The sequence below is a fragment of the Homo sapiens genome, chromosome 8 (assembly GCF_000001405.40).
Source record: "Homo sapiens chromosome 8, GRCh38.p14 Primary Assembly".
In the NCBI taxonomy this organism is placed as follows: Eukaryota; Metazoa; Chordata; class Mammalia; order Primates; family Hominidae; genus Homo; species Homo sapiens.
This window is the reverse complement of record NC_000008.11, coordinates 30,366,118-30,392,358: the sequence shown is the minus strand read 5'-3', so window position 1 is coordinate 30,392,358 and position 26,241 is coordinate 30,366,118. Positions and strand designations below refer to the sequence as shown.

Genomic DNA, 26,241 nt, shown 5'->3' with positions numbered 1-26,241 from the left:
AAGCCTCTGTGTGTTCATTCACAGAGCGATTTCCTTGCCTAGCCCATCTTTTCCCCACTGTCTGAACCCTTTTCTCATCAGTCAAAATCTTAACTGAGATTTAGCTCATACGTCATCTTTAAAGAACTGACTCTTTAAACTTCTTTAAAGCTTTCTGTGACACAGCTCCATCCCTTCCTTGCAGGTTTGGCTGTGCTCAACTCAACTACCTCTACTTTAACCTCGGGCGTGGTTATACCTGTTTGTTCATACAGGGGCATCACCATTAAACTGTGAGCAACTTTAAGACAGGAACTGCCTCTCTCAGATCTTGGCATCTCTAGAATCTGCACATGAAGACCCTGGCTCCATAGCTTTTCAGGGCTTCAGCCACTTCCCCATCAAAGCAGCACAATCATCATAATCCCTTCATCAGCTTGGCACATAGTAAATACTCAATAAAAGTTAGGAGATAATTATTTAATGAATAGATAAAAAGATTTCTGACAATTCTGCAGGCTAAAGATTTCAGTATTTCCTTTTTCCTGCTATCAGCAACACTGACAAGCCAAGCAGCTTTCTTCTGATACCACAGACATATCCCCTTTACTCAGCTTCATGTTTCAGATAATATCAAGGACCTCCCACCTCCACCGCCAAACATAGAAAATATAGTGCAATAAAATTGTTTACAATATTCTCCTGGTACACTTTAGGGATGTGAGTGTGAGGAGTTATCCCCATATGACAAATAAGCTCATCCCCACCAGGGGCATGGAACTGACTTGTTCATACCAACATAGCATCCATTTTAAATACCTGGTCCCAGATGGCCTCAAGCCCACTGAGCTATGCAGCCACTTCTGCACCAGCTTTTAAGGTTCATTCTCCTCATTCCTTCCTAAGTTTTTTTCTTTGACCAAAGCAAGCACTGTTCAAGAGGAACATTTGCATTCCCTTTCCCCTACCCCCAGGCAGACACTAAGGTGCCAAATGAAACTGAACACAAACATTCCAAAGTGGCTGTCACACAGAGCAGGCTTGTTTGGGAACACAGGGAGTCCATGCTCTTCCACCTAACCAAGGCTTCTGGAAGCCCTCGTCCAAAAGGTCAAATGGAATTCCACAGCAGAAACCAAATTCTAATGGTGAAAACCCAAATGCACCTTGGGACAAGCAGTCCCACACTGACAGTGGCTATCTGATGGACCAGGCAGGCTCACCTGTGCTCGCAAATGGAGGTTCCTAATGACAAAGGGATGGAAGTAATTTTCCAGCAGTGGCTATTTGATGGACCAGGCAGGCTCACCTGTGCTCGCAAATGGAGGTTCCTAATGACAAAGGGATGGAAGTAATTTTCCAGCCGATCCATCCACACCTTTTCTAATTCCCCAGTGCAGAGCACAGAAGGGATCCTCAATATTAAACGAGTGGCTGCTTCTTATTACCTGTACAAACTCATAATCACCAACCTCACCAATAAGGCTATTTCATATATATTTACAAAGAATTATATACGTGTATATATGTAAGTGTGGATGTGTGCAGAGGAGATTTACCTGGTGCTGGGGTAGGTGTTGAACATTGGGAATACTGTAAAATGGCATAGACCCATACAAAATAAATAGCTGAAAAAAATAATAACCAGGAGTTAAATGGACATAACAGAAAGTAACTTTTACTGAAATTCTAATGAAAAATCATCTCTATGGGATGGGACATTCAGGTGAGGGGGATCTTGCAAAAATGTAGGCTGAAAAACTTGAATCCTGGCTTAAAAGCAGCTCAGACTAGATCAAGAGAACAGAAGAGGAAGACCTAGGCTTCCTCTTAGCAAAGGGATCACAGTATACAGGTAGGTGAGGGCAATCCCGAACGCCATGTGCGCACTTGACTTTGTGGAGTACCAAGTAGCACTGAAGGATTCGGGGCATTGGAGGGCCCAGCAGTATGGTGTAAGGATGGACTCCAGAAGAGCATCAGAACAGGAGAGCAGCTGAAGATCACTAACACAATCAAGATAAGGGAATGAGTAAGAGAAATACTAATAGTACTAAGAAAGACTATGTCTGAGGAACAAGGCAGACCTGATTCTCACCGCTAGGCTTGTGAGCAAAACTAAATGTGACCAACCTCGGTTTTGTGAATATCACGATTCAAGGAAACCCTCAAAGCAAAAAGACATTTAATTCTTTTTGTTCACATGGTCATTTTCGAAAACTTAAACACCGAAAGGCATCAGAAAGTAAATAGCAATGATCTGTAATCCACCAATTAGATACAATTAATGTTTGGTTTTATGAATGAATATACATTTATTTGAGAACTGGCATCACATAGCATAAAACTTTAAAATCAGTTCTTTTCATTTAATATTACAACATGAGAATAAAAATATAGTCTTCAGAATGTCTGGAGCCACTGAAGCTCAAAGAGGTAAGGACAGGTTCTCCTCTCCAGCCTTTAGAGAGCACGGTGGCCCTGCCAACACCTTGACTTCAGGTTTCTAACCTCCAGAACACAGAGAATAGTATATAACCACATATGTATAATACATAATAAATATGAATTTATATATAATACATATTTTATAATCCATGTATTTTTCTCTTTAAAAACGGAGCCTTTAGTGGTTGCACAATATTCCCCTTCCAGAATTATACAATGATTTAGTTAGCAGTTTCCCATGTTAGATAGAGTGCCTCTGAATTGTCACTGTCATAAGTCACTGCAAAAATCATTCCTATATATAAATCTTTATGATACCGTTTTCTTAGGGTAAATTTCTAAAAATAAAGGTACTAAATCAAAGGGCCTGAACACATTTTGATAGTGTCACTCCTTTCTGAAAAGCTACACTAATTTACATCACCACTGCTCTGCACAAAAGTACCCACTTTATTGCCTTGTCACCAGCACTGAACACTTTTATCCTTAAAGCAAAAATTAACATGAACCTACGAAAATCATGTGAAACCATCTCCAGAAGAGAACTTCCACCCCTTCCAAACTACCCATCTGAAAACTAATGCCACTGGGAATGAAGAAGACTGCAGATGCACACAAGGGTTTATCAGGGAAATGTTTAAACCGCTACTGGAAAAATAACTCAAAAGTGCATGCCATATTGACAGGGGTCATGGAGCATCAGTTGTCACCAAATCCTATTCTACAACTGAAATATATGTTTATTGCATTGGATTGAACTTGGAATAACAGAGATCCCCAATCTTGGTTAAATTGTATAAAACCATTCTGTACTTTCCTGAAGTCACAATGTAGATTGACTTTAATGCTCAATGAAAATTTGAGGTTGCCACATCAAACTGACATTACCCTCTCTGCAGCAATTTTAAGAAATAATTTTCTTTACAACCCCAATATTTTGGCAAAATTAGCACTTTAAAAGAAGGAATGCAAAGTAAAGGTTTGTATTAACCTCAGAAGAACTGACTGTATGATTTCTGCACATCTTTTTGATCAATATTCCAACACTTCCACGTTTTTTGCTTTTTTAGTTTTATTATAAGTACAAGTCAATTCAAAGCAATTTAAGGAGAAATTAACACCAGTGCTTCAATATAATAAAAGGCCTTTTAAAGATGTTTTACAATCAGCCTGAAAAGTACTCAATGACATGGATAAAAGTAGAAATAAAAACCAAATCACATATTTAATCTAAATTTCTATTTTGAAAATTCAGTGACCAACAAATAAGTTACAAGCTATAAGTTAGCTTTATAGCTATAGCTATAAGTTATAAGTTAGCTTATAGCTATAGCTATAAGTTATAAGTTAGCTTATAGCTATAGCTATAAGTTATAAGTTAGCTTATAGCTATAGCTATAAGTTATAAGTTAGCTTATAGCTATAGCTATAAGTTATAAGTTAGCTTATAGCTATAGCTATAAGTTATAAGTTAGCTTATAGCTATAGCTATAAGTTATAAGTTAGCTTATAGCTATAGCTATAAGTTATAAGCTATAAGACAGAAAAGGTCTTGATATATTTGAAAATACTTTAAACTCATCAATTATAACTGATTAGGTAAGACAAATAATTATGGATCTATTATATATCAATTTTTATAAAGTTTGATTGCACAATTAGAGAAATTCTAGGAATCATTTTATCAATTGTAAAATATAAGAAATGACATGATACTCTAAACATATATAAACAAACCTTAAAAATCTCAGTGAGATTTTGACAACTGGTTAGTCTTTACAGGACAACTTGCTTAGGGAACACACATGTATAATACATTGTACGTGTATTACACATGTATTTAATGTAATAATACATTAAAAATCGGAAAGTTAAATGTATCATCTCTCTTACACAACTGGCTAGCCAAATCCTAAATTATTTTTCCTCAAAGTTTTCAATGCTATCCAAAGTAGAAGTATTAATACATGTTCTGCCAAAGTTCTCAAAAACTTCCAACCCTAAAAAGCTGCAAAAATACTCCTAGATCCTGAACTGTTCATTCTACACAATTAGAACCAAAGAGGCATTTCAGCACAATTATTTCAGGGTAAGCATTAGAAACTCTCAAAAGAAGCTAAAATACACTGATTGATAGAAGGAATTCGTTTCGAAACTAGAAACACAGAAAAAAACAAACTTGGGTTCTACAATGTGGAGAAAGCCCAAACCACCCTCATGATCTGTGAAATAAACTATTTTCCCTTAATGATGATTGGACTCATTTTTCCATGTCAGTTCAATGGCTACCAGAAATTACAACGAAACACATTTTTCCTCTCGTCATTACGTGTATATATCTATGTTGTATGTGTGTGTTCTGTTTACTGGAGTCCACCGCCAAGGTTTTTAAATGTGCTTAAGAGCAAGTTGCTGATACAATGGGTGGGCAGGGAAAGGGTCAGTGCAGTGGTTTTGTGTAATGCCGGGCACATTAATGGCACTCACCTAATACTCTATTTATTTTACCTGTGGCTTTCAGGGTTAGAAAGAAAAAAACAAAAAAGAGGTTAAGAGTTTTTCAAGAACAAAATATAAACCAAAAATAGGAAATTAAGGCAAAATTACCTGGATCATTCAGGCCACCTTAGTTTCTTTTCCTCAATTTCTGACATTATAAACCCCCCTCTCTTCACGGTCTTAACTGTTTTGTACACGACATCTCTCTTGGACAACTTGGGTTCTGAAATCTTCCTACGTGTCCCCTTACTTTTTACATAACAAGTGTTTTGCTAAAAAGACCGATACTTTCTAGAGCCACATGCCATTCCTACCTGAAAAGGAACGCTGTCAGATAACAGGACAAGTAAGAGGCAGCAACTGTACTGCAATGGCCCGCGATTATACAGCGATTATTATACACAACCTCACAAGGACGGAGGAGCGTCCAGGAACAGGGCAGGCAATCCCTTGGTCCTGGCAGCTGTTAAGAGGGGTCAAGCAGAAAAATGTGACTTTTCTATACTTAATTTTAATGTGGGTATGATTTTTAGGACATTGAACCTCTTTTGCTACCTACCAAAAGGAAAAAAAAAAGTTTTCTCAACTGGGTGAATAAAGAAAGATGGTTTCATATAATATTCTAACCCTGAGAAGCAAACAGATTGCACATCTAGCTGAAACAGAAAGATTTCTGAAGCGATGATTATCTTGATATGGTAAGTGAATTAGTTAAATATGGTAATTCCTAAAAAAGCACACTTGTCATTATTTTTAAATTTTTTTAAGTGGTAGGGAAAATAAATAGCAAAGCAGCCAGTAAAGTTCAAGAAAAAAAATCAGAACACACCATTCAACTCTCCATCGCTTTGAAAAAAGAAATGCCAGTAGCATTCCTACAATTGTAATTAGAAAACATGCAAGTAAACAACTCTTCAAATAGTCTTTTATAATAAAATAGAAAATGTCCTCGGGTGAAAAAGCAATTTTTGGCTGACTGCAATTCATTTAGGTTTTCACTACCATACAACTGGGTGACGAGTAAAATCTCCTATTTATTTTGCATTGTTTGGCATAGTCTCGCTCCTCTACCTTCTCCATCTAAATAGTTACCATTTTCCAAGTGGACAATGTGCAGAGAAGTTGTATGTATTAATGAATTCCTCTGCAATTTTGGTTTCACTATCAGAATTGAAGTTTGCACACAACATAGTGTCTCAACAATGATCTCAACATTCTAACGCTTTAGAATCCGTTTACCTTCTGTGTTCACCTATATCAGGATCCAATACCTGTGTGAATCTTTTCGGGTCATATTTAGACGTGCACTTTCCTGCATCTACACACACTCTCAAGTTCCTCTAGAATGTTTAAGAACTCAACTGTGTGGGATGTTAAGAAGTACGCCAGAAATAATTTCTTGGACTCCAGATAACGTACCTGCAAAAAGAGTCATTTGGTAGGATACCACAAATATCCTACTGAATTCTGAAACGTTTGTTCCTGAGTCCGACTCCCCTTCTGACCACATCTACTCAATTTTGTTTCCACCGAAGGAACGCTCCGCAGTCACAAAACTTTCATCATGATTACGGACGCACCACCTAAAATGCATGCTCAGAAGTCAAAGTCCTATGAAAATACCCTCGATGAGCATTTGGTGAATTGCTGCGTTTTTAACCCTCTTACTCTGCTCCCCTCAGCTGCACGGCCCCTAAAATCACAAGCGTTCACCGCCCAGGCTCGGGGTCTTTGACTCAGCAGAGAAGAATGTGGCTGATGAGTTATCTATTAATCCAAAAAACCTCGGCTAGAAAGATATTTCACCAAGAACTTTTAACACGGAAAGGGAGGGGGCAGGGAATAGAGGTATCTTTTAACGAGAACTTTCCCCCGAGTTTCTTCCTTAAACTGCTCCCCCCCCGACCCTGAATCCATACACAATTTCCAGCCCCGGCCCTAAGTCCTGACCCTCCGAGTCCCGATTATCTGAGGTCACCCAGGAGTCAGCTCTCGGTTCCACTTATAAATCCCGGGCAAACAAAGCTGAGCATTATACTTACAAAAGTCTCCGAAAAGTCCTTGGAGTTACGCAATTTGGGGCCCGCAGACGCGCGTGGACACAAAAACACACGCTCCCGAGATCCACCCTCCCCGGGCCACACTGTGGGGCTGCGTCCGGGGCACGGGCCATGCCTGAACCTTCTTCCACCGCCGCGCCCCGGGCCCGCGCCCCGCCGGCCGCCCGCACTGGGTCCCGCGTCGCCCCCGCCACCACACCGAGCCGCCCAGTACCTCCTCCTCCTGAAGGTTGGCCTCGCTCGGGGTGTTCTCCTTCTCGGCTTTGCCGCCGTTGTTCATCTTCCCGGTCCTTCCTCGCCGGGCCGGGCAGGGCTGGGGCGCGGGGCTGGGCGAGGGCGCGCTAGCCCACTGGAGCCTTCCCCGGGCGCCGGGGCTCCCTCGGGCGGGCGCCGCGGGCTGTGGGGCTGGAGCTGGAGCCGGGGCAGTGGCTGTCGGGCTCGGGTTGGGCTGGGGCTCCCGCGGCGAGTCTGCGACGGCGGCGGCGGGCGACTCAGGAAGTGCAAGGGAGAGACGGGGCAGGGCGCGGGCCGGGAGCGGGGCACCGAGACAATCGGGCCCCGGGAGGGCGACCTGGAGAGGGAGGGCGGGAGCCAGGGGAGGAAGGAAGAAGGAAGGAAGGAAGGAAGCAAAGGATGGGGCGAGGACGCGCGTCCCAGGAGTAAGCGCGGAGAGTTGGGGCTGGGGGCTGCAGCCGCTGGAAGGAGGGGACGGGGGTGCCTAGAGAGGAGGAGGAGGAGGAAGAGGAGGAGGAGGAGCGGGGCGGAGGAGCGCGGGCCGCGGCTGGGACGCTGGGACCCGAGAGCCGCTGAGTACGCGCTCCAGGCAGGCTCTGGGAAGTCCGGGATGGAAGCAGCTCCCTTTCTCTCGCCTTCCTCCCTCCCCTCTCCCCTCCCTCCTCTCCGCGCCTCTCCTCCTCCCTCCGCCCTCCCTGGACGTGGGCTGCCGGCTGCAGCCCGGAGGGACGGGGCGCGGGACGGAGCCCCCCGCGGGAGGAGGGGCCGGCGGCCGGATGGCGCGCGCCGGGGAGGGGCAGCGGGCCGCGGGCGGAAGCGGCGACCCCAGCCCCCGACTCAGCGGCTGGTCGGAGGGCGAGGGCCCGGGAGGCCGAGGGCAGGGAGGTCGGGTCCCGCCGTTCCCTTGGCCCCCGGGGGCCCCGGCGTCTGCGCGCCCCGGGACTTCGGGGACCCTGCCCCGCCGGGGCCTGGACCGGGACCTGGGATGTGTGCGACTTTTAGTTTGCCGGCTTTTACCGAGGGATTTGCACCCCTGGCCCTAAGCCCACCCTTCCCGAGCCAGACCCGGTTCTTCCTCTGCTGCTTGAATGACAGCATGAGAACTCGAGGGACACCGGGGACAGCCCACTCCGGGCCGGCTTTTTCAGGACAGGGCTTCAAACCCATCTCCAGCGCGGGTCCTGCGACGCGCCCGGAGCCTTCCCCGCTTCGCTTCCTGAGCGTCCCGCGGCCCCCCGACTCCTCTCCCAACTCTCACCAGACTGTTCTGGGATTGTTTACCTGGCCTCTCCCTCACCCTTCAGAAAGCTCCTTCCTGGAAGAAAAAAAAAAATCCTGCCCTATTTATCTTTTTAATCCCACGGCTATTTAAACGGGCTAAGGGGTATATAGCAGGCACTCAATAAATATTTGTTGGCAAAGTGAATATTCCTTATTGCAGGCAGAGCTGGGGGTCCGTACGGAGGAACTTCAGAGGCTGGAAGCACGCTTGAAAAAGAAAGGGGGCCTGGGCTTTGCACCAGCTTCAGGATTGCGTACTTGTTTCCTCATCCGTGAAATGGGAGCAGCTGAATGTGTCTCCTCGAGTTTTCGAGGTGATTATAGGTTGATAGAGCTATATACAGCACCCAGCATTTATTCTTGCTTCGTTTAGGTTTACAATACATGGAAGCTAACATTATTATTAAGAAAACTTCTATTTTTCCAGGGCCTTAGAAAGCGTTTCCAATACTCGATCATTTAAGCTTATGGTTTTTTGGTTTTTTTTTTTTTTAGAAAAATGAGGGTCTCACTTTGTTGCTCAGGCTGAGCTCGAGCTCCTGGCCTCAAGTGATCCTCCTGCTTTTGGCCTCCCAAACTGATGGGATTACAACGTGGAGCCACCGTGTTAAACTCTTAGATTTGACTGCTACAAAGGTATAAATGTGGAACTCCATATATCAGTGGGTTCTGCCCCACTTCTTCCTCCCAGGAATTCTCCATCCCAGCCTGCTGCTCCTGTCTTGCACCGGTAACAGTTTCCAACTACAGTATTTGCTTAACTGTTTCTCCCCACCCCCACCAGACATTCTTTATACTTGGTTTAAGTGCTGCTGGGGATAGGGCGGGGGTGGCTGTGGGAGTTGCAGATAAGGACCCTCCCTTTAGGGAGTTTAAAGTGGTATGGTGGCTCACACTTGGAATCTCAGCACTTAAGGAGATAGAGGAAAGAGGATTGCTTGAGCCCAGGAGTTCAAGACCTGCCTGGGCAACATAGTGAGACTCTGTTCTCCACAGAGGGGAAAAAAAGAAAAGACAAAAAAATAAAGTGGTATGGAGCCAAGATACTCTCAGAATCCTCTTTCCGATTATAGAAAGCAAGGAAAATATTTGCTTTAAGGGCATTATGAGGAGAAAAACAGTAGTGATACTTGGATTTACATATTGGATTTATCTTGGGGGTTTGGAGATTTTGAAACAGGAAGATTTCCATAAGGAAAACATGTTTTTTTAATTGCTGTCATAATGTGATTTCTCTCTAAGGGGAACAAACATGTATCCTGGATGAAAATAAACCAACTCTTGAAACTGCAACCCAAGACATTCAGAAGAGATAAGGCTACAGTGAATGTGGAAACTTTGCACGTGTTTGGATGTATTGATTGCCTTAACTGGCAGCTCTTTGCACTGCCAGCTTCCCTCAATTACATGAGGAACCACGAGGGGGCAATGTCTTCCCGAGCAATAATAGCTGAGTGGTGGTCTTAGGACCCCGTGGTGGCCCATGATGCTAGCACTGTGTCTTTGGCCATTCTTGCCTGTCATGGAGCATACTCCACAGAAGGGCATGGTCTTCTTGGATCCCGGCATGGGCCCAACAAAAATGACAATGTAGTCAATAGTTCCACTCAGACCTCACTTAGGAGCAGGTGAACTATGTTGTGTGATATCAGGATGCCCGGAGAACCTCTCCTATCCCCACCCAGGGAAGCATGGCTTAATTCCAAATAAAGAATCTGATTTCTTTGTCTTTAAGCCAAGCCAGGACTTTGTCCATTGTTAAAAGTCAAAAATCTCTGGGATAAGAAACAAAAATAAGTTCCAGGCGGGGCACGGTGGCTCATGCCTGTAATCCCAGCACTTTGGGAGGCCGAGGTGAGCCCAACACCTGATGTCAGGAGTTCAAGACCAGCCTGGCTAACATGGTGAAACACCGTTTCTACTAAAAATACAAAAAATTAGCTGGGTGTGGTGGCGCACGCCTATAATAGCAGCTACTTGGGAGGCTGAGGCAGGAGAATTGCTTGAACCCGGGAGGCAGAGGTTGCAGTTAGCCGAGATTGCACCATTGCACTCCAGCTTGGGCAACAAGAGTGAAACTCTGTCACAAAAAAAAATAAGTTCCAGGAGAGGATCCTTGTCTGGCTTATTCACTGTTGTATTCCCAGCATCTAGACAGTGCCCAACACATAGGAGGCGCTCAGTTATTTTTTAATAAATGAGCATTTTAAGTCTGATGGGTTACTGATTCTCAGGCCTGAATGTTATTACTGGATTTTTCCAAGATCCAGCAGGAAGGACTAAATCAGTGGAGATGTCTTAGAACAGATAGTCACAGCAATGGCATTAGGCAGGGTCTTGGCAGTGTTTTTTTTTGTTTTGTTTTTTGTTTTCTGAGAGTCTCGCTCTGTGGCCCAGGTGACATTGTTTAAGCAAATGTCTCACCCAGGCGAGAACTGTTCAAGCAATTCTCCTGCCTCAGCTTCCCCAGTAGCTGGGACTACAGGTGCACACAACCACACCTGGCTAATGTTTTTGTATTTTTAGTAGAGACAGGGTTTCCTCATGTTGGCCAGGCTGGTTGGTATTGAACTCCCAAACTCAGGTGATCCACCCACCTCAGCCTCCCAAAATGCTGGGATTACAGGCATGAGCCACCGGCCTGGCAGTGGTCTTTAGTCATGATTTTGCAGGGGGGACCCTAGATAGAGACCTTGTGCAGAATGGAACAACTGATAAGGTTTCAAACAGTAAAAGATAAAATCCCACCATTGAGGCCGGGCACAGTGCCTCATGCCTGTAATCCTAGCACTTTGGGAGGCCAAGGCGGGCAGATCACCTGAGGTCAGGAGTTTGAGACCAGCCTGGCATGGTGAAACCCCATTTTTGAAAATACAAAAATTAGCCAGGCGTGGTGGTGGGTGCCTGTAGTCCCAGCTACTCGGGAGGCTGAGGCAGGAGAATCGCTTGAACCCGGGAGGCAGAGATTGCTGTGAACCAGATCACACCACTGTACTCCAGCCTGGGCGACAGGGAGACTCCATCTCAAAAAAAAAAAAAAATCACACCATTGAATTTGACATATCAGACAATAAAATCGACACTGATGCAGGGATGGCTATACTATATAGTCAGTGGTGAGAGTGACATTCAGGGTGTTTTCAGAAAAACATATGGGGTTGGGATAATATGTCAAGAAAAGGGAGATTTCCTGCTTTTTATCCTTTTCATGAAGAGTAGTTTAGAGTTATTTGAAAGAGCAATAATGTATTACCAATAAAACTCAAGGAAAATCTGTAAACAGACTTTTGCTATTTATAAAACTTTGTGATTGAAGGCAAAGAGTTTGAATTTGTGTGGGGGAGGAAAATGTACCTTCAATCAGGGTATAAATGATAATTACAGCTTGTTTATGACTTTAAAGAAAGATTCCAAAGTAATATCTCCTCAGTAGCAATAGTTCTCAGGCATCCTGAGAATTATAAGACCACAAAGGGATTTTTTTTTTGAGACGGAATTTCGCTGTAACCAAGGGATTTTAAATCCTGTAATAGTTGTGCTGAAGACCAGAAAAGTCCGCTTTCTCCCCAGCCTAACACTCTACCTACTGTATTGCCTGACCTTCGAGGTTACCTTGAAAGGGTAATATTGTATACACCTGTAGTTTTTTACTACTCACTGCTGTTTCTCTGGCAGTGTTCATTTCGAGGCTTGCCTTAAGAAATCCAAACCTATAATTATGTCTTAAATGTTTGCCTTTGGGAACTGCAGACATTAAAGGTCTATTTTGAGGCGATTTGCATGGCATGGGCTTTGTACCTATGTTAGCTTTGCAGCAGAAAGCTGCAGTATCTACCATGTGTGTTGTGATTGTCTATTAACCCTTCGGCTGAGCCAAAGAAGTTATTGAGGCCAGAGGGGCTGTATTTTATTGGTTTTTGTCATCCTTGACACCTCTCTCTCCCTTACCTCGTGCCTGCTCACCTCCAGCTCCTCTCCATCTTCCCCTGATTTTTTTATTAATTTATCATTGTGGCAAAAGACACATAACATAAAATTTACCTTCTTAACCACTTTGGTTTTTTGGGGTTTTTTTTGAGATGGAGTGTTGCTCTGTTGCCCAGGCTGGAGTGCAATGGTGCCATCTTGGCTCACCACAACCTCCACCTCCCAGGTTCAAGAGATTCTCCTGCTTCAGCCTCCTGAGTAGCTGGAACTACAGGCGTGTGCCACCATGTCCAGCTAATTTTTGTATTTTTAGTAGAGATGAGGTTTCACTATGTTGACCAGGCTGGGTTTTCTTTTTTCTTTTTTTTTTTCTTTTTTTTTAGTGATGGGCCTTCACTGTGTTGCCCAGGCTGGTCTCAGACTCCTGGGTTCAAGTGATCCTCCCACCTCAGCCTCCCAAAGTGCTGAGATTACAGGTATGAGCCACTGCACCCAGCCTACTTGTTTGTTTTTCCAGATTTCGTTCTGTTGCCCAGGCTGGAGTACAGTAGCATGATCATAACTCACTGCAGCCTCGAACTCCTGGGCCCAAGCAATCTTCCTGCCTCAACTTCCCGAGCAGCTGGGACTGCAGACTCTTGCCACCACACGCAGCTAATTTTTAAATTTTTTTCCCAGGCTGGTCTCAAACTCCTGCCTTCAAGCAATCCTCCTGCCTCAGCCTCCCTAAGTGCTGAGATTACAGACATAAACCATTTCACCTAAGCCTTCCATTTGAACCATTTTTAAGTGTAGTGTTAAGTGTATTCACATGGTTGTGCAACAGCCCCCTGACTTTCACCTCCTAAAGAATTCTGAGGTTCACTGGCTTCCCTCTGATCATGATCAGAGGCCCACATGGAGGAGAATCCAGGTGTTTGGCTTACAGCCCCAGCTGAGCTCTGCAGACAACCAGTATCAATTTGCCAGCCCTCTGAGTGAACTATCTTGAGAGTGGTTGCTCCAGCCCTAGTTGAGCTGCCGCAGCTGATACCATCTGGAAGAGAGATGAGCTTTCTGCAGCAAACCCTGCCCAAATTGCAAAATTGTTAGCAAAAAAAAAAATGAATGCTGTTGTTTTAAGTCACCACATTTCAGTGTGGTTTGTAATACAGCAATATATAACTGAAACATAATTACATACCTAGAAGCGGGATAATAGAAATCAACAGGGTGATTCCTACTGTAATAGAAACCTAAAACACATGGCAGGAGCTTTGGGATCAGGTGGAGGATGGAAGCTGGAAGAACCTTGAGGAGTCTGTTATTGACAAATACTATTAAAGAACAGTGAGTGGGGCTGGCCGTGGTGGCTCACACCTATAATCCCAGCACTTTGGGAGGCAGAGGTGGGCCGATCACCTGAGGTCAGGAATTCGAGACCAGCCTGGTCAACACGGTGAAACCCTGTCTCTACTAAAAATACCAAAATTAGCCAGGCGTGGTGACGCGTGCCTGTAATCCTAGCTACTGGGGAGGCTGAGGCAGGAGAATTGCTTGAACCCAGGAGGCGGAAGTTGCAGTGAGCCAAGATCGCACCACTGCCCTCCAGCTTGGGTGACAGAGAGAGACTCAGTCTCAAAATAAAATAAAATAAAGAACAGTGAGGATACTGTTATTGCTGGCTGGAGAAAAGGGGGATTGACTTAGGTATTGGAAGAACAATTAGCTAAACTACTCTGCAGTTATGTGAAAGCTAGAGAAGGTACCTAGTGAACATGTGGATCTGGCTATGGAGATTTCTGGATAGAATGGTGAAAGGGTGGAATGGTTCCTTTTGCATGCCTGTGATATAGTACCAGAGAAGTGCAGTGAGCTAAAAAAGAAACTGTTCCATTTTTCATCAGAATTTAGAAGAAGCAATTAAAGAAGCCAGGACTTGCAGGATTTGAAATAAAACTACTTTTCATTCCTAGTTCTCCAGAGGACAAAACTCTCAAAATAAGAAATGGCCTAGGGGCAAAAGTCAAATCCCAGGTACTATCAGGAAAACATAGTCATAAGTAAAGTTCAAGACAACAACAGGTGCAGCAGCTCACACCTGCAATCCCAGTGCTTTGGGAAGCCAAGGTGGGAGGATTACTTGAGGCCAAGAGTTTGGGATCAACTTGGGCAACATAGCAAGACTCCTCTGCAAAAAAAAAAAAAAAAAAAAAGAAAAAAGAAAAAACAACAATTTTGAGACAGAATCTCGTTCTGTCACCTGGTTGGGGTGTAGTGGCATGATCATGGCTCACTAAAACCTCTGTCTCCTGGGTTCAAGCAATTCTCATGCCTCAGCCTCCCAGGTAGCTGGGATTACAGGTACACACCACCATGCTTGGCTAATTTTTGTATTTTTAGTAAAGATGGGGTTTCACCATGTTAGCCAGGCTGGTCTCAAACTCCTGGCCTTAAGTGATCTGCTCACCTTAGCCTCCCAAAGTGCTGGGATTACAGGTGTGAGCCACCAAACCCGGCCTCTGCAAAAAATTTAAAAATTAGCTGAACATAGTGGCACATGCCTATAATTCCAGCTATTTTGGAGGCTGAGGCAGGAAGATCACTTGAGCCCAGGAGTTTGAGGGTACAGTGAATTATGATCATGCCACTGCACTACAGCTTGGGCAACAGAGCAAGAACCTGGCTCTAAAAAAAAAAAAAAATGCCCAGGTGTGGTGGCTCAGGCCTGTAATCCCAGCACTTTGGGAGGCTGAGGCGGGCAGATCTCGAGGTCAGAAGATCGAGACCATCCTGGCTAACATGGTGAAACCCCGTCTTTACTTAAAAAAATACAAAAAAATTAGCCAGGTGTGGTGGTGGGCGCCTGTAGTCCCAGCTACTCAGGAGGCTGAGGCAGGAGAATGACATGAACCTGGGAGGCGGAACTTGCGGTGAGCCGAGATGGTGCCACTGCACTCCAGACTGGGGGACAGAGAGAGACTCCGTCTCGGGGGAAAAAAAAGAAGATAAGGATGTAGCTAGAAGACACTGGGTAGGCAGCTTCTACAATGGACCCCAGTGATCCTTCCCTCCCGGTATTCAAACCCTCTGTAATCCCTTCCTTCATGTGGGCTGGACTTTGCAACTTGCTCTTAAGGAATACAGTGTGGCAAAAGTGATGGATAGCACCTCCAAGACTAGATTTAAAAAGAGACGATGGCTCATGTCTTACATGCCCTCTCTTGCTCTCTCACTTGCTGCCTTTGACCTGCCTTATGGAGACGCTCATGTGGCAAGGAACGAAGGCCTCCAGCCAAGAGCCACCAAGGAACTGGTTTTCAGTCCAACAACCAGCAAGGAGCTGAATCCTGCCAACTACTGCATGAGTAGACCTGGAAATAGATCTTCCCTAAGTGGACCCTTCACGTGAAACCTATTATGGACTGAATGCTAGTGTCCTTCTGAAATTCACATAAAATCCTAACCTCCATTGTGATAGTATTAGGTAAGGCATTTGGGAGGTAATTAGGTTTAGATGAGGTCACAAGTGTGGGGCCCCCATAATGGGGTTGGTGCCCTTATAAGAGGAGAAAGAGGCTGGGTGTGGTGGCTGATGCCTGGAATCCCAACACTTCGGGAGGCCAAGGCAGGAGGATTGCTTGAAGCCAAGAGTTTGAGACCAGCCTGGACAACACAGTGAGACCCCCATTTCTATGAATAAATAAATAAATTAGCCAGGCACGTGGCTCACTCCTGTCATCCCAACACTTTGGGAGGCCAAGGCAGGAGATTTCCTTGAGACCAGGAGTTCAAGATCAGCCTGGGCAACGTAGTGGGACCCTGTCTCTACAGAAAAATTAGCCAGGCATATTGGTGTGAGTCTGTAGTCCCAACTACTACTCCCAAAGCTGAGGAATAAGGATTGTTTTAGCCTAGGAGTTCAAGGTTACAGTGAACTATAATTGTACCACTGTACTCCAGCCTGGGAGACAGCAAAACCCGGTTTGTGTGTGTGTGTGTGTGTGTGTGTGTGTGTGTGTGTGTGTGTGTGTGTGTCGAGAACCAAAGCTCCTTCTCTCCCTGCCATGTGAGGACACAGTGAGAAGGTGGCTGACTGCAAGCCAGGAAGAGGGTCCTCATGAGGAAATGAATTGACTGGCACCTTGATCTTGTGGCACCTTGATCTTGGACTTCCCAGCCTCTATAACTGTGAGAAATAAATGTCTGTTGTTTTAGCCACCCAGTCTGTGGTATTTTGTTATGACAAGCTCAGCTGACTAAGTAATTAATACCAAGAAGCGGTTTGCTGCTGTAACAAATAACTAAAAGTGTGGAAGCAGCTTTGGAACTGGGTAGTGGGTAGAGGCTGAAAGAGTTTTGTTTTTAGAGATAGGGTCTGCCAGGTGCGGGGGCTCACGCCTGTAATCCCAGCATTTTGGGGGGCCGAGGCGGGTGAATCACGAGGTCAGGAGTTCGAGACCAGCCTGGCCAACATGGTGAAACCCTGTCTCTACTAAAAATACCAAAAAATTAGCTGGGCATAGTGGTAGGCACCTGTAATCCCAGTTACTTGGGAGGCTGAGGCAGGAGAATCGCTTGAACCCAGGAGGCAGAGGTTGCAGTGAGCTGAGATCTTGCCACTGCACTCCAGCCCGGGCGACAGAGTGAGACTCATCTAAAAAATAATAATAATAATAATAATAATAGATACAGGGTCTTGCTGTGTCACCCAGGCTGGAGTGCAGTGGTGCAATCATACCTCACTGCAGCCTTGAACTCTTGGGTTCAAGCAATCCTCCTACCTCAGCCTCCTGAGTAGCTGGGAATACAGGTGTAGGCTGCCATGCCTAGATTTATTTCTTTTTTTAAAGGTGAGGTCTCACTTTGTTGCCCAGGCTGGTCTCTAATGATCCTTCTGCCTTGTTCTCCCAAAGTACTGGGATTACAGGCATGAGCCACCAAGCCCAGCCTGAGGCTGGAAGAGTTTTGAAGAACATGCTAGAAAAAGCCTAGATTGCTGTGAAGGGACCATTAAAGGTGATTCTGGAGAAGGATCAGAAAGAAAAGGGGAGCTGTAAAGAAAACTTGCCTCTTCTTAGAGAATACATAGTCATGTACAAGATGCTGGTAGAAATATAGACAGTAAAGGCCAGTTACGGTCTCAGGTAGAAATGAGGAATATGCTATTAGAAACTGGAGGAAAGGCGGCTGGGTGTGGTGGCTCACGCCTGTAATCCCAGCACTTTGGGAGGCCGAGGTGGGTGGATCACTTAAGGTCAGGAGTTTGAGACCAGCCTGGTCAACATGGTGAAGCCCCATCTCTACTAAAAATACAAAAAATCAGCAGGGCATGATGGCAGGCACCTGTAATCCCAGCTACTTGGGAGGCGGAGATGGGAGAATTGCCTGAACCCAGGAAGCGGAGGTTCCAATGAGCCGAGATCGTGCCACTGCACTCCAGCCTGGGTGATAGAGTGAGACTCTCTGAAAAAAAAAAAAAAGAAACTGGAGGAAAGGGCATCCTTATTAGAAAGTGGCAAAGAACTTAACTAAATTGTATTCATGCTCTAGAGTTTTGTGGAAGGTAGGCCTTACAAGAAATGAAGTGGAATATTTAGCTGTAGAGATTTCTTTTTTTTTTTTTTTTTTTTTTGCGATAGAGTTTCACTCTTGTCGCCTAGGCTGGAGTGCAGTGACACGATCTCGGCTCAATGCAACCTCTGCCTCCTGGGTTCAAGTGATTCTCCTGCCTCAGCCTCCTGAGTAGCTGGGATTACAGGCGCCCGCCACCACACCCAGCTAATTTTAGCTGTAGAGATTTCTAAGCAGTTTTGGAGTGTCTTGATGCCTCCTGACCACTTTAAAGTAAAATTTGAGAAGTGATAAATAAATTGAAGAAGGAATTGTTAAGCAAAAAGGAACCACAACTTCAAGATTGGAACATTATCCGCCTGTCCATATTGTAAAAAATGAGAAAGGATATTCAGAAAAGAACACCAAGGGTGTGGCTAACTGACCATTTGATGAAGAGATTGGTGTGGGTGCAAACCACAGACCTAATCAACCATCTCAACAGAAGTCACGGGATTGTACCAGCAGAAATCCTGCCAACTGGGATTAAAGGAAACAGAAAACAGGACAGAATGAAGGAAGGCTACAGACACGCATTATCCTTCAAAAAAAGGGAAGAGGGACTCCAAAGGTGATTCAGAGATCATCAGAGCTGCTTCTCCCACTACAGGCCCAGATTGCACAGGCTGAGAACAAGGCTTGTGTCCACCGTGGGTGGCTGTGACATTCAGTAGAGGTGGGTGGGTAGGCCCTTGCAGAGAGCCACTTGAGTGGTATTCCACAAAGCCCAAAGGGGCATACTGCTTGCTGAGCTGTACCCCAGTGGGTCAGCTGGGCACAGCATCGAACCAAAGACAATTACTCTTTTTTTTTTAGGAGACAAGGTCTTACTCTGTTGCCCAGGCTGGAGTGCAGTGGCATGATCATAGTCCACTGTAGCATCGAACTCTTGGCCCCAAGTGACTCCTCTGCCTCAGCCCCCCAAGTAGCAGTGACTCCAGGTATGCACGTCCACACATGGCTAATTTTAAAATTATTTTTAGAGATGGGGGTCTCACTATGTTGCCCTGGCTGGGCTCAGACTCCTGGCCTCAAGGGATCTTCCTGCCTCAGCTTCCCAAAGTATCAGGATTACAGGCATGAGGCACCACACCAGGCCAAGTATTATTTTTGAGCCTTAAAATCTCATGGTATTTGCTCTGTTAGGTTTTGGACTTACTTGGGACCCATCGCCCCTTTCTTTCTTCCAGTTTCTTCCTTTTGGAATGGGAATGTATATCCTATGCCTGTCCCACCATTGTATTTTGGAAACACATAACTTATCTGGTTTCACAGATTCACAGCTGGAGAGGAATTTTGCCTCAAGATGAATTGTACCTCGAGTCTCTACCATATATACTCTAGATGATATCAGATGAGACTTCAGAGTTGATGCTAAAATGAATTAAGACTTTGGGGGCAGTTGAGATGGAAAGAATGTATTTTGCATGTGAGAAAAACATGAATTTGGAGGGACAATGGCACTGAACAGGAGGCCGTGCTATAACCTCTACATGGACTGTCACATTTTATTGTTTAAAGATGCCAGGTTAAACATAAGCATTTCCGTCCCTCTCCCTAAACCTCTAATAACAATTCAGAAAAGATGTGTTGTCATCAACATTATTTTAAAGCATAAACTAACAAGGATAAAGAGAATGAAAGAAAGCTAGGCCTGTGGCTTATACCTCTAATCCTAGCACTTTGGGAGGCCAAAGCACAAAGATCACTTGAGGCCAGGAGTTTGAGACCAGTCTGGGCAATACAGCAAGATACTCATCTCTACAAAAAGAAAAAAAATTAGCTGGGTATGGTGACACATGCCTGTAGTCCCAGCTGTTTCAGAAGCTGCAGCAAGAGGATTACTTGAGCCTAGGAGTTTGAGGCTGCTGTGAGCTATGATCATCGCACCACTGTACTCCAGCCTGAGTGACACAGCGAGACTGCATCTCTTAAAAAAAGAAAGAAAAAAAAAAGAGAGAGAATGAAAGAAAACAATAGTAGTAAAATTTGGGAAACTGTGAAGCAGATTAATATTAAGAAAACTAAATCCAGCCGGGCGCGGTGGCTCACGCCTGTAATCCCAGCACTTTGGGAGGCTGAGATGGGCAGATCACGAGGTCAGGAGATCAAGACCATCCGGACTAACATGGTGAAACCCCATCTCTACTAAAAATACAAAAAATTAGCTGGGCGTAGTGGCGGGCGCCTGTAGTCCCAGCTACTTGGGAGGCTGAGGCAGGAGAATGGTGTGAACACAGGAGGCGGAGCTTGCACTGAGCCAAGATCGCACCACTGCACTCCAGCCTGGGTGACAGGGCAAGACTCCGTCTCAAAAAAAAAAAAACAAAGGAAAGAAAACTAAATCCTAAGCTTGGTGGTGGCAAAAAATTGAGAAGCTACAGAATTCCCAAAAGACGCAAGCCTTGGCAGTAGCTGGCACCTCAGAAGTGAGAGTGAAAATGGGGCTGTAACCAAGAGGATTATCGAAAGGAAAGCAATACATTCCTAGATTCCTCTTTTTTTTTCACATTTTATTGTGAAATTTACTTGTTTTCATTTGTTTGTTTGTTCGTTTGAGACAGAGTCTCACTCTGTCACCCAGGCTGGAGTGCAGTGGCACGATCTCAGCTCTCTGCAACCTCCGCCTCCTGGGCTCAAGTAATTCTCATGCCTAAGCCTCCAGAGTAGCTGGGATTACAGGCGTGTGCCAATGCGCCGGGCTAACTTTTGTATTTTTTGTAGTTTTGTATTTTTTGTAGAGACAGGTTTCTCTATGTCGGTCAGGCTGGTCTCAAACTCCTGACCTCAAGTGATCCACCCACCTTGGCCTCATAAAGTCCTGGAATCACAGGCATGAGCTAGCGCACCCAGTCGAAATTAACATTTTAAATTTGTCTCTTCTCTTTTTGGGAATATCTAAATGGAAAAAGAAAAACAGATATATCTTCTTCTTCTTTTTTTTTTTTTTTTTTGAGACAAAGTCTCACTCTGTTGCCCAGGCTGGAGTGCAGTGGCATGATCTTGGCTCACTGCAACCTCTGCCTCCCAGGTTCAAGCGATTCACCTGCCTCAGCTACCCTAATAGCTGGGATTACAGGCATGTGCCACCACACCAGGCAAATTTTTGTATTTTTAGTAGGGATGGGGCTTTACCATGTTGGCCAGGCTGGTCTCGAACCCCTGACCTCAGGTGATCCGCCTGCCTTGGCCTCCCAAAGTGCTGGGATTACAGGCATGAGCCACCAGGTCTGGCCCCCCTATTGTCATTTTTATTAGAAGTTTATTTCTCTTCATATGAGTAAAGTTTTATTAAAGCAGCTTAACTATAAATATATAAAAATTTTAAAGACAAGAAACATGACTAATGAGGTAAACATCAATGGCTGAAAAGTTGGAAAATTAGGTGTGTGTGTGTGTGTGTGTGTGTGTGTAAATTTAGGCTTCCAGTAATCATAAGCATTACTGTAATTTTCACCCTAAGTGAACCACTTTAAAATGTGTGCCTTTCTTGAGTAACCATTGTAAATATTAATTGGACATTCACAGACTGTAAAGGTTTAAAACTAATGACTGGATGTTATGGCAAACAGTGTGGAGCTTCCTCAAAAAATTAACAATAGTACTGATCTAGCAGGCTTGCTACTGAGCATATATCCGAAGGACATGAAGTCAGTATGTCAATGACATATCTTACTTCCACGTTCATTTGAGCATTATTCACAATAGCCAAGATATGGTGTATCTATACCACATTTTCTTGATCCATCTATCAATAGATGAATAGATGAAGAAAATGTGGTATAGATACACCATGGAATACTATTCAACCTTAAAAAAGAAGGAAATCCTGTCATTTGTGAAAACATTGATGAATCTGGAGGACATTATGCGAAGTGAAATAAGCCAGGCACAGAAAGACAAATACTGTATGATCCCATTTATAAGTGGAATAAAAAAAAAAACAAACTCGGCTGGGTGCAGTGGCTCATGCCTGTAATCCCAGCACTTTGGGAGGCCGAGGTGGGCCGATCACTTGAGGTCAGGAGTTTGAGACTAGCCGGGCCAACATGGTGAAACCCCATCTCTGCTAAAAATACAAAAGTTAGCTGGGCGTGGTGGTGGGCGCCTGTAGTCCCCAGCTACTTGGGAGGCTGAGGCAGGAGAATTGCTTGAACCTGGGAGGTGGAGGTTGCACTGAACCAGGATCACACTACTGCACTCCAGCCTGGGCGACAGAGCAAGATTCCATCTCAAAAAGAAAGAAACAAATAATAAATAAATAATGTATATTATGGATGTGTACCCATATGAAGGCATCTGGATTTTTCCAACCCCATCCTTTTAAAAAGCTTTGTATAATTTTAGTATGGGTGTACAAGTCCTATATGGATGGACATTTAGGTTGTTTACAGTTTTTTAATATTTAACAATGTTTGATGACCATTTTTGTGCAAACATCTTTGTACATTGCCTGATTATTTCTTTAGAATACATTCTAAAGAAGTTATTAGGTTAAATGTTAAGCATATTTTATGCATTGATGTTTCTGGTTAGAAAGCTGATAGAATTTGTACTTGCTTCTACATTATATGAGAATGTCCATTTCATTACAACATTCTCAACACTGGAAAAAATCTTCATGTTGTCAATTGGTGGTGAAAAATGATAAAACATCATTCTTTTAGTTGCATTTCTTGATTATTAGCAGGACTGACCATCTTTCCCTCAGTTTATGAGAATTTGGAAATTGCCTATTGTGTCTTTGTGCATTTTTCTAGTGGGATGTTCGCCTTTTTGGTTTTTAATTTTTTTTTTTTTTTGAGACGGAGTCTCGCTCTGTCACCCAGGCTGGAGTGCAGTGGCACGATCTCAGCTCACTGCGACCTCCACCACCCAGGTTCAAGAGATTCTCCTGCCTCAGCCTCCCAAGTAGCTGGGACTACAGTTGCATGCGACCATGCCTGGCTAATTTTTTAGTAGAGACGGGATTTCACCATGTTAGCCAGGATGGTCTTGATCTCCTGACCTCATGATCCGCCCACCTTGGCCTCTCAAAGTGCTGGGATTATAGGCGTGAGTCACCATGCCTGGCCGGTTTTTAATTTTTAAATTGACAAACAAACATTGTACATATTTATCATGTATATGCTTTGAAATATGTTGTTTGCCTTTTTCTAATTGGTCTTTGAAATTATTTTGCTCCCAATATCCTACAACTTGTTTATGTGTTCCACAGATATGAGTGCCAGGTACCATGATAGGTTCTTAGAATAAAATGATGAGAAAGAGAGTCACAGACCCTACCTTCATGGGCTAGGCAAATTGGTAAGGAGTTACAACAAAGTGGGATCGGTGCTTTACCTATGGAAGTTCACCATTCTAGAGAGTTCAAAAATGTGGCAAATACACACTCTGGGAGGTCAGTAGAGTCTTCCACCAGGAAGTGACATTTCCCTGGGTTCTAAAGGATGAGCATAGTGGCCAGTTAAAGTAGGAGTGGTAGGAGCCAAGAGGGTTCCAGTCAGAAATGAGGCTAAAGGGATTAGAGAGAATTCTTGACTGGTGAATTGAAAACACTGAAGACTGCAAAATAGAAAAGTGCTGGGAGATGAGCTTGGATAAGTAAAAAAGGAACAGATTATTAAGAGTTTAAGGGGACAGGCATGGTGGCTCACGCCTGTAATTCTAGCACTTTGGGAGGCCAAGGCTGGCGGATCACTTGAGGTCAGGAGTTCAAGACCAGCCTGGCCAACATGGTGAAACCCCGTCTCTACCAAAAATACAAAAAGTTTGCCAGGCGTGGTGGCACGCACCTGTAATCCCAGCTATTTAGGAGGCTGAGGCACAAGAATCGCTTGAACCCAGGAGACAGAGGTTGCAGTGAACCAAGATTACACTACTGTACTCCAGCCTAGGCAACAGAATGAGACTCTATTTCCAAAAAAATAAAATAAAATAAAATAGTGACTTAAACAAGCAGAACTCTGAAAAATTTTACACAATGAGAAGTGTGGTACCTGGATTGGTTCACCTTTTCATCTTTTCACTCTGCCATTCTCAATTGTATGATACCTCTTTTTCTGGTCCTGTGATATCTTCCCTTATAGTCTCACAATAGCTGCGGCAATTCTAAGCATCGTTCCCTCACACAATCATGCTCAGTGGCTTGGAAAAAATAGGCCTTGTCTCTGTTAAAGAGGAAAGTTTTTTCCAGAAGCTTCTACAAGAATTCTCCATCTCTCATTGGCCAGAACCTGATCACAGGGGCCAAGCTGCGCTGACTGCTGGGAAGGTGAGCATCTGATAGTTCATTATCTGTGGTGGGAGGCACTTCTATCTGTAGGGAAGAGTGATAACCTTGGGGTAGGAAACCAGCAATGTTGTTCTCTGCATTTGGAAAGTTTTGAGCAAACAAATGATGTGATCAGGCTTATATTTAATTCTGTATTCTTCCAGGTCTTCTTCCTCCTTTCACATTACTCTCCACCACCTCCTTCCTCTACTCTCAACCACCACTTTTTCACCTAGTTCTCCCACCTTTTGAAAAAAAAAAATTTTTTTTAGAGAAGAGGTCTTGCTATGTTGCCCAGGTTGGTCTTGAACTCCTGGATGCAAGCAATCTTTCCACTTCGGCCTCCTGAGTAGCTGGAATTACAGGCATGAGCCACCATGCCTGGTTCCTTTTTTTTTTTTTTTTTTTTTTTTTTGTGATGGAGTCTCACTCTGTCGCCCAGGCTGGAGTGCAGTGGCGTGATCTCGGTTCACTACAACTTCTGCCTCCTGGCTTCAACCAATTCTCCTGCCTCAGCCCCCTGAGCATCTGCGACCACAGGCACGCGCCACCACATCCAGCTAATTTTTGTATTTTTAATGGAGATGGGGTTTCACCATGTTGGCCAGGCTGGTCTTGAACTCCTCACCTCAGGTGATCCGCCCACCTTGGCCTCCCATCTAATTTTTGTATTTTCAGTAGAGACAGGTTTCACCATACTGGCCAGGCTGGTCTCAAACTCCTGACCTCAAGTGATTCACTTGCCTCAGCCTCCCAAAGTGCTAGAATTACAGGCATGAACCCCAGCACCCAGCCTGCCCTAAATACTTTAGAAAGTGCCTGACTTGATTTTTAAAAATGTCCTAAAACAACTAATATTTTGGGTTACAAGGATGCTCAGATATGCTTGGTATTGCCACTGGTATGTTAACCAAGACTTACTTAATTTCCACTATTAACATAAATAATGATACAGTCACTTAGATTGTGTGCCTTGCCTAACACTTTATTGGTAAATGTTTGTAGAATGAATAGCTTTTAAATAAATAAGTCTCCAATCCACATCGTTCACTTTTAAAGACTAAAAAGTGACATAGTCACATCTGACACACCCATTATGTCTACTTGTGCCATATTAAAAACATGTGAAAACCGTGGCAGGCTGACTTGGCTAGATGATCCTTTTTTTTCAAACCATGATGCAAATCTGCTAAATTTCTTTCAAGTTTGATGGCCACATCAGTTAAGCATCCTAGAAAATGTTTTTTGAAAATGCATTATTTGTTCTGAAGCCGTCTGGAACTTATTTTATGAGTGCTGATTTGGACTTCTAGCTGACCAGAGATAATCAGACTTGCTGTCACACATTCTGCGCTATAACTTGGTCTGATTTTACCAGTTTTCCTTGCATCCTGAATGTCAGTCTAAACTCAACAGCAGCTAGTCAACAAAAGTTGTGGAGTACGTATTTGGAGATTATGGAAGAAGGTTTGTGCTTCAGCTCATGTAACATAATTAATAACAAACTTTTTTTTTTTGAGACAGGGTCTCTGTTCCTAGGCTGGAGTGCTGTGATGTGATTTCGGCTCACTGCAGCCTTGACCTCCCAGGCACTGATCCTCCCATGTCAGCCTCTCAAGCAGTTGGGACTATAGGTGCACACCACCATGCCCACTCATTTTTGTATTTTTAGTACAGACAAGGTTTCTCCATGTTCCCAAGGCTGGTCTCGAACTCCTGGGCTCAAGCAATCCACCCACCTCGGACTCCCAAAGTGCTGGGATGATAGAAGTGAGCCACCACATCTGGTCAATAACAAACATTTTAAGCACCTTTTTAAAAAAATTGATTAATTGATTAAATTTTGAGACGGAGTCTTGTTCTGTTGCCCAGGCTGGAGTGCAATGGCCCGATCTTGGCTCACTGCAACCTCTGCCTCCCGGGTTCAAGCAATTCTCCTGCCTCAGC

General features: G+C 44.3%; 1 protein-coding gene and 1 long non-coding RNA gene across 21 annotated transcripts in view, besides 2 other annotated features; one reads left to right on the top strand and one right to left on the bottom strand.

Annotated features, from left to right (window-relative positions):
* Nucleotides 1-7,818, bottom strand: part of RBPMS (RNA binding protein, mRNA processing factor) — a 187,716-nt gene extending 179,898 nt beyond the window's left edge. For all 20 annotated transcript variants that reach the window (XR_007060693.1, NM_001008711.3, XM_017012981.3 and 17 more), the window contains exon 1: nt 7,201-7,818. Coding sequence is in view for 19 of the 20 variants with exons in the window: in NM_001008711.3 (NP_001008711.1) it covers nt 7,201-7,266 (66 nt within the window). In the remaining variant the exon portion in view is untranslated. The remainder of the gene's footprint in view (nt 1-7,200) is intronic.
* Nucleotides 6,689-7,360: an enhancer, noted in NCBI's record as "NANOG-H3K27ac-H3K4me1 hESC enhancer chr8:30242515-30243186 (GRCh37/hg19 assembly coordinates)". NCBI's record gives its function as "activates a minimal SCP1, AML or CMV promoter by ChIP-STARR-seq in primed H9 embryonic stem cells {active_cell/tissue: H9 hESC(primed)}" and the evidence as "EXISTENCE:reporter gene assay evidence [ECO:0000049][PMID:30033119]".
* RBPMS-AS1 (RBPMS antisense RNA 1) lies at nt 6,958-10,240 on the top strand. The gene is made up of 3 exons (NR_046205.1): nt 6,958-7,215; nt 8,662-8,815; nt 9,744-10,240. It is a non-coding gene; the product is annotated as an RBPMS antisense RNA 1 (long non-coding RNA).
* Nucleotides 7,361-8,031: an enhancer, noted in NCBI's record as "H3K27ac hESC enhancer chr8:30241844-30242514 (GRCh37/hg19 assembly coordinates)". NCBI's record gives its function as "activates a minimal SCP1, AML or CMV promoter by ChIP-STARR-seq in naive H9 embryonic stem cells {active_cell/tissue: H9 hESC(naive)}" and the evidence as "EXISTENCE:reporter gene assay evidence [ECO:0000049][PMID:30033119]".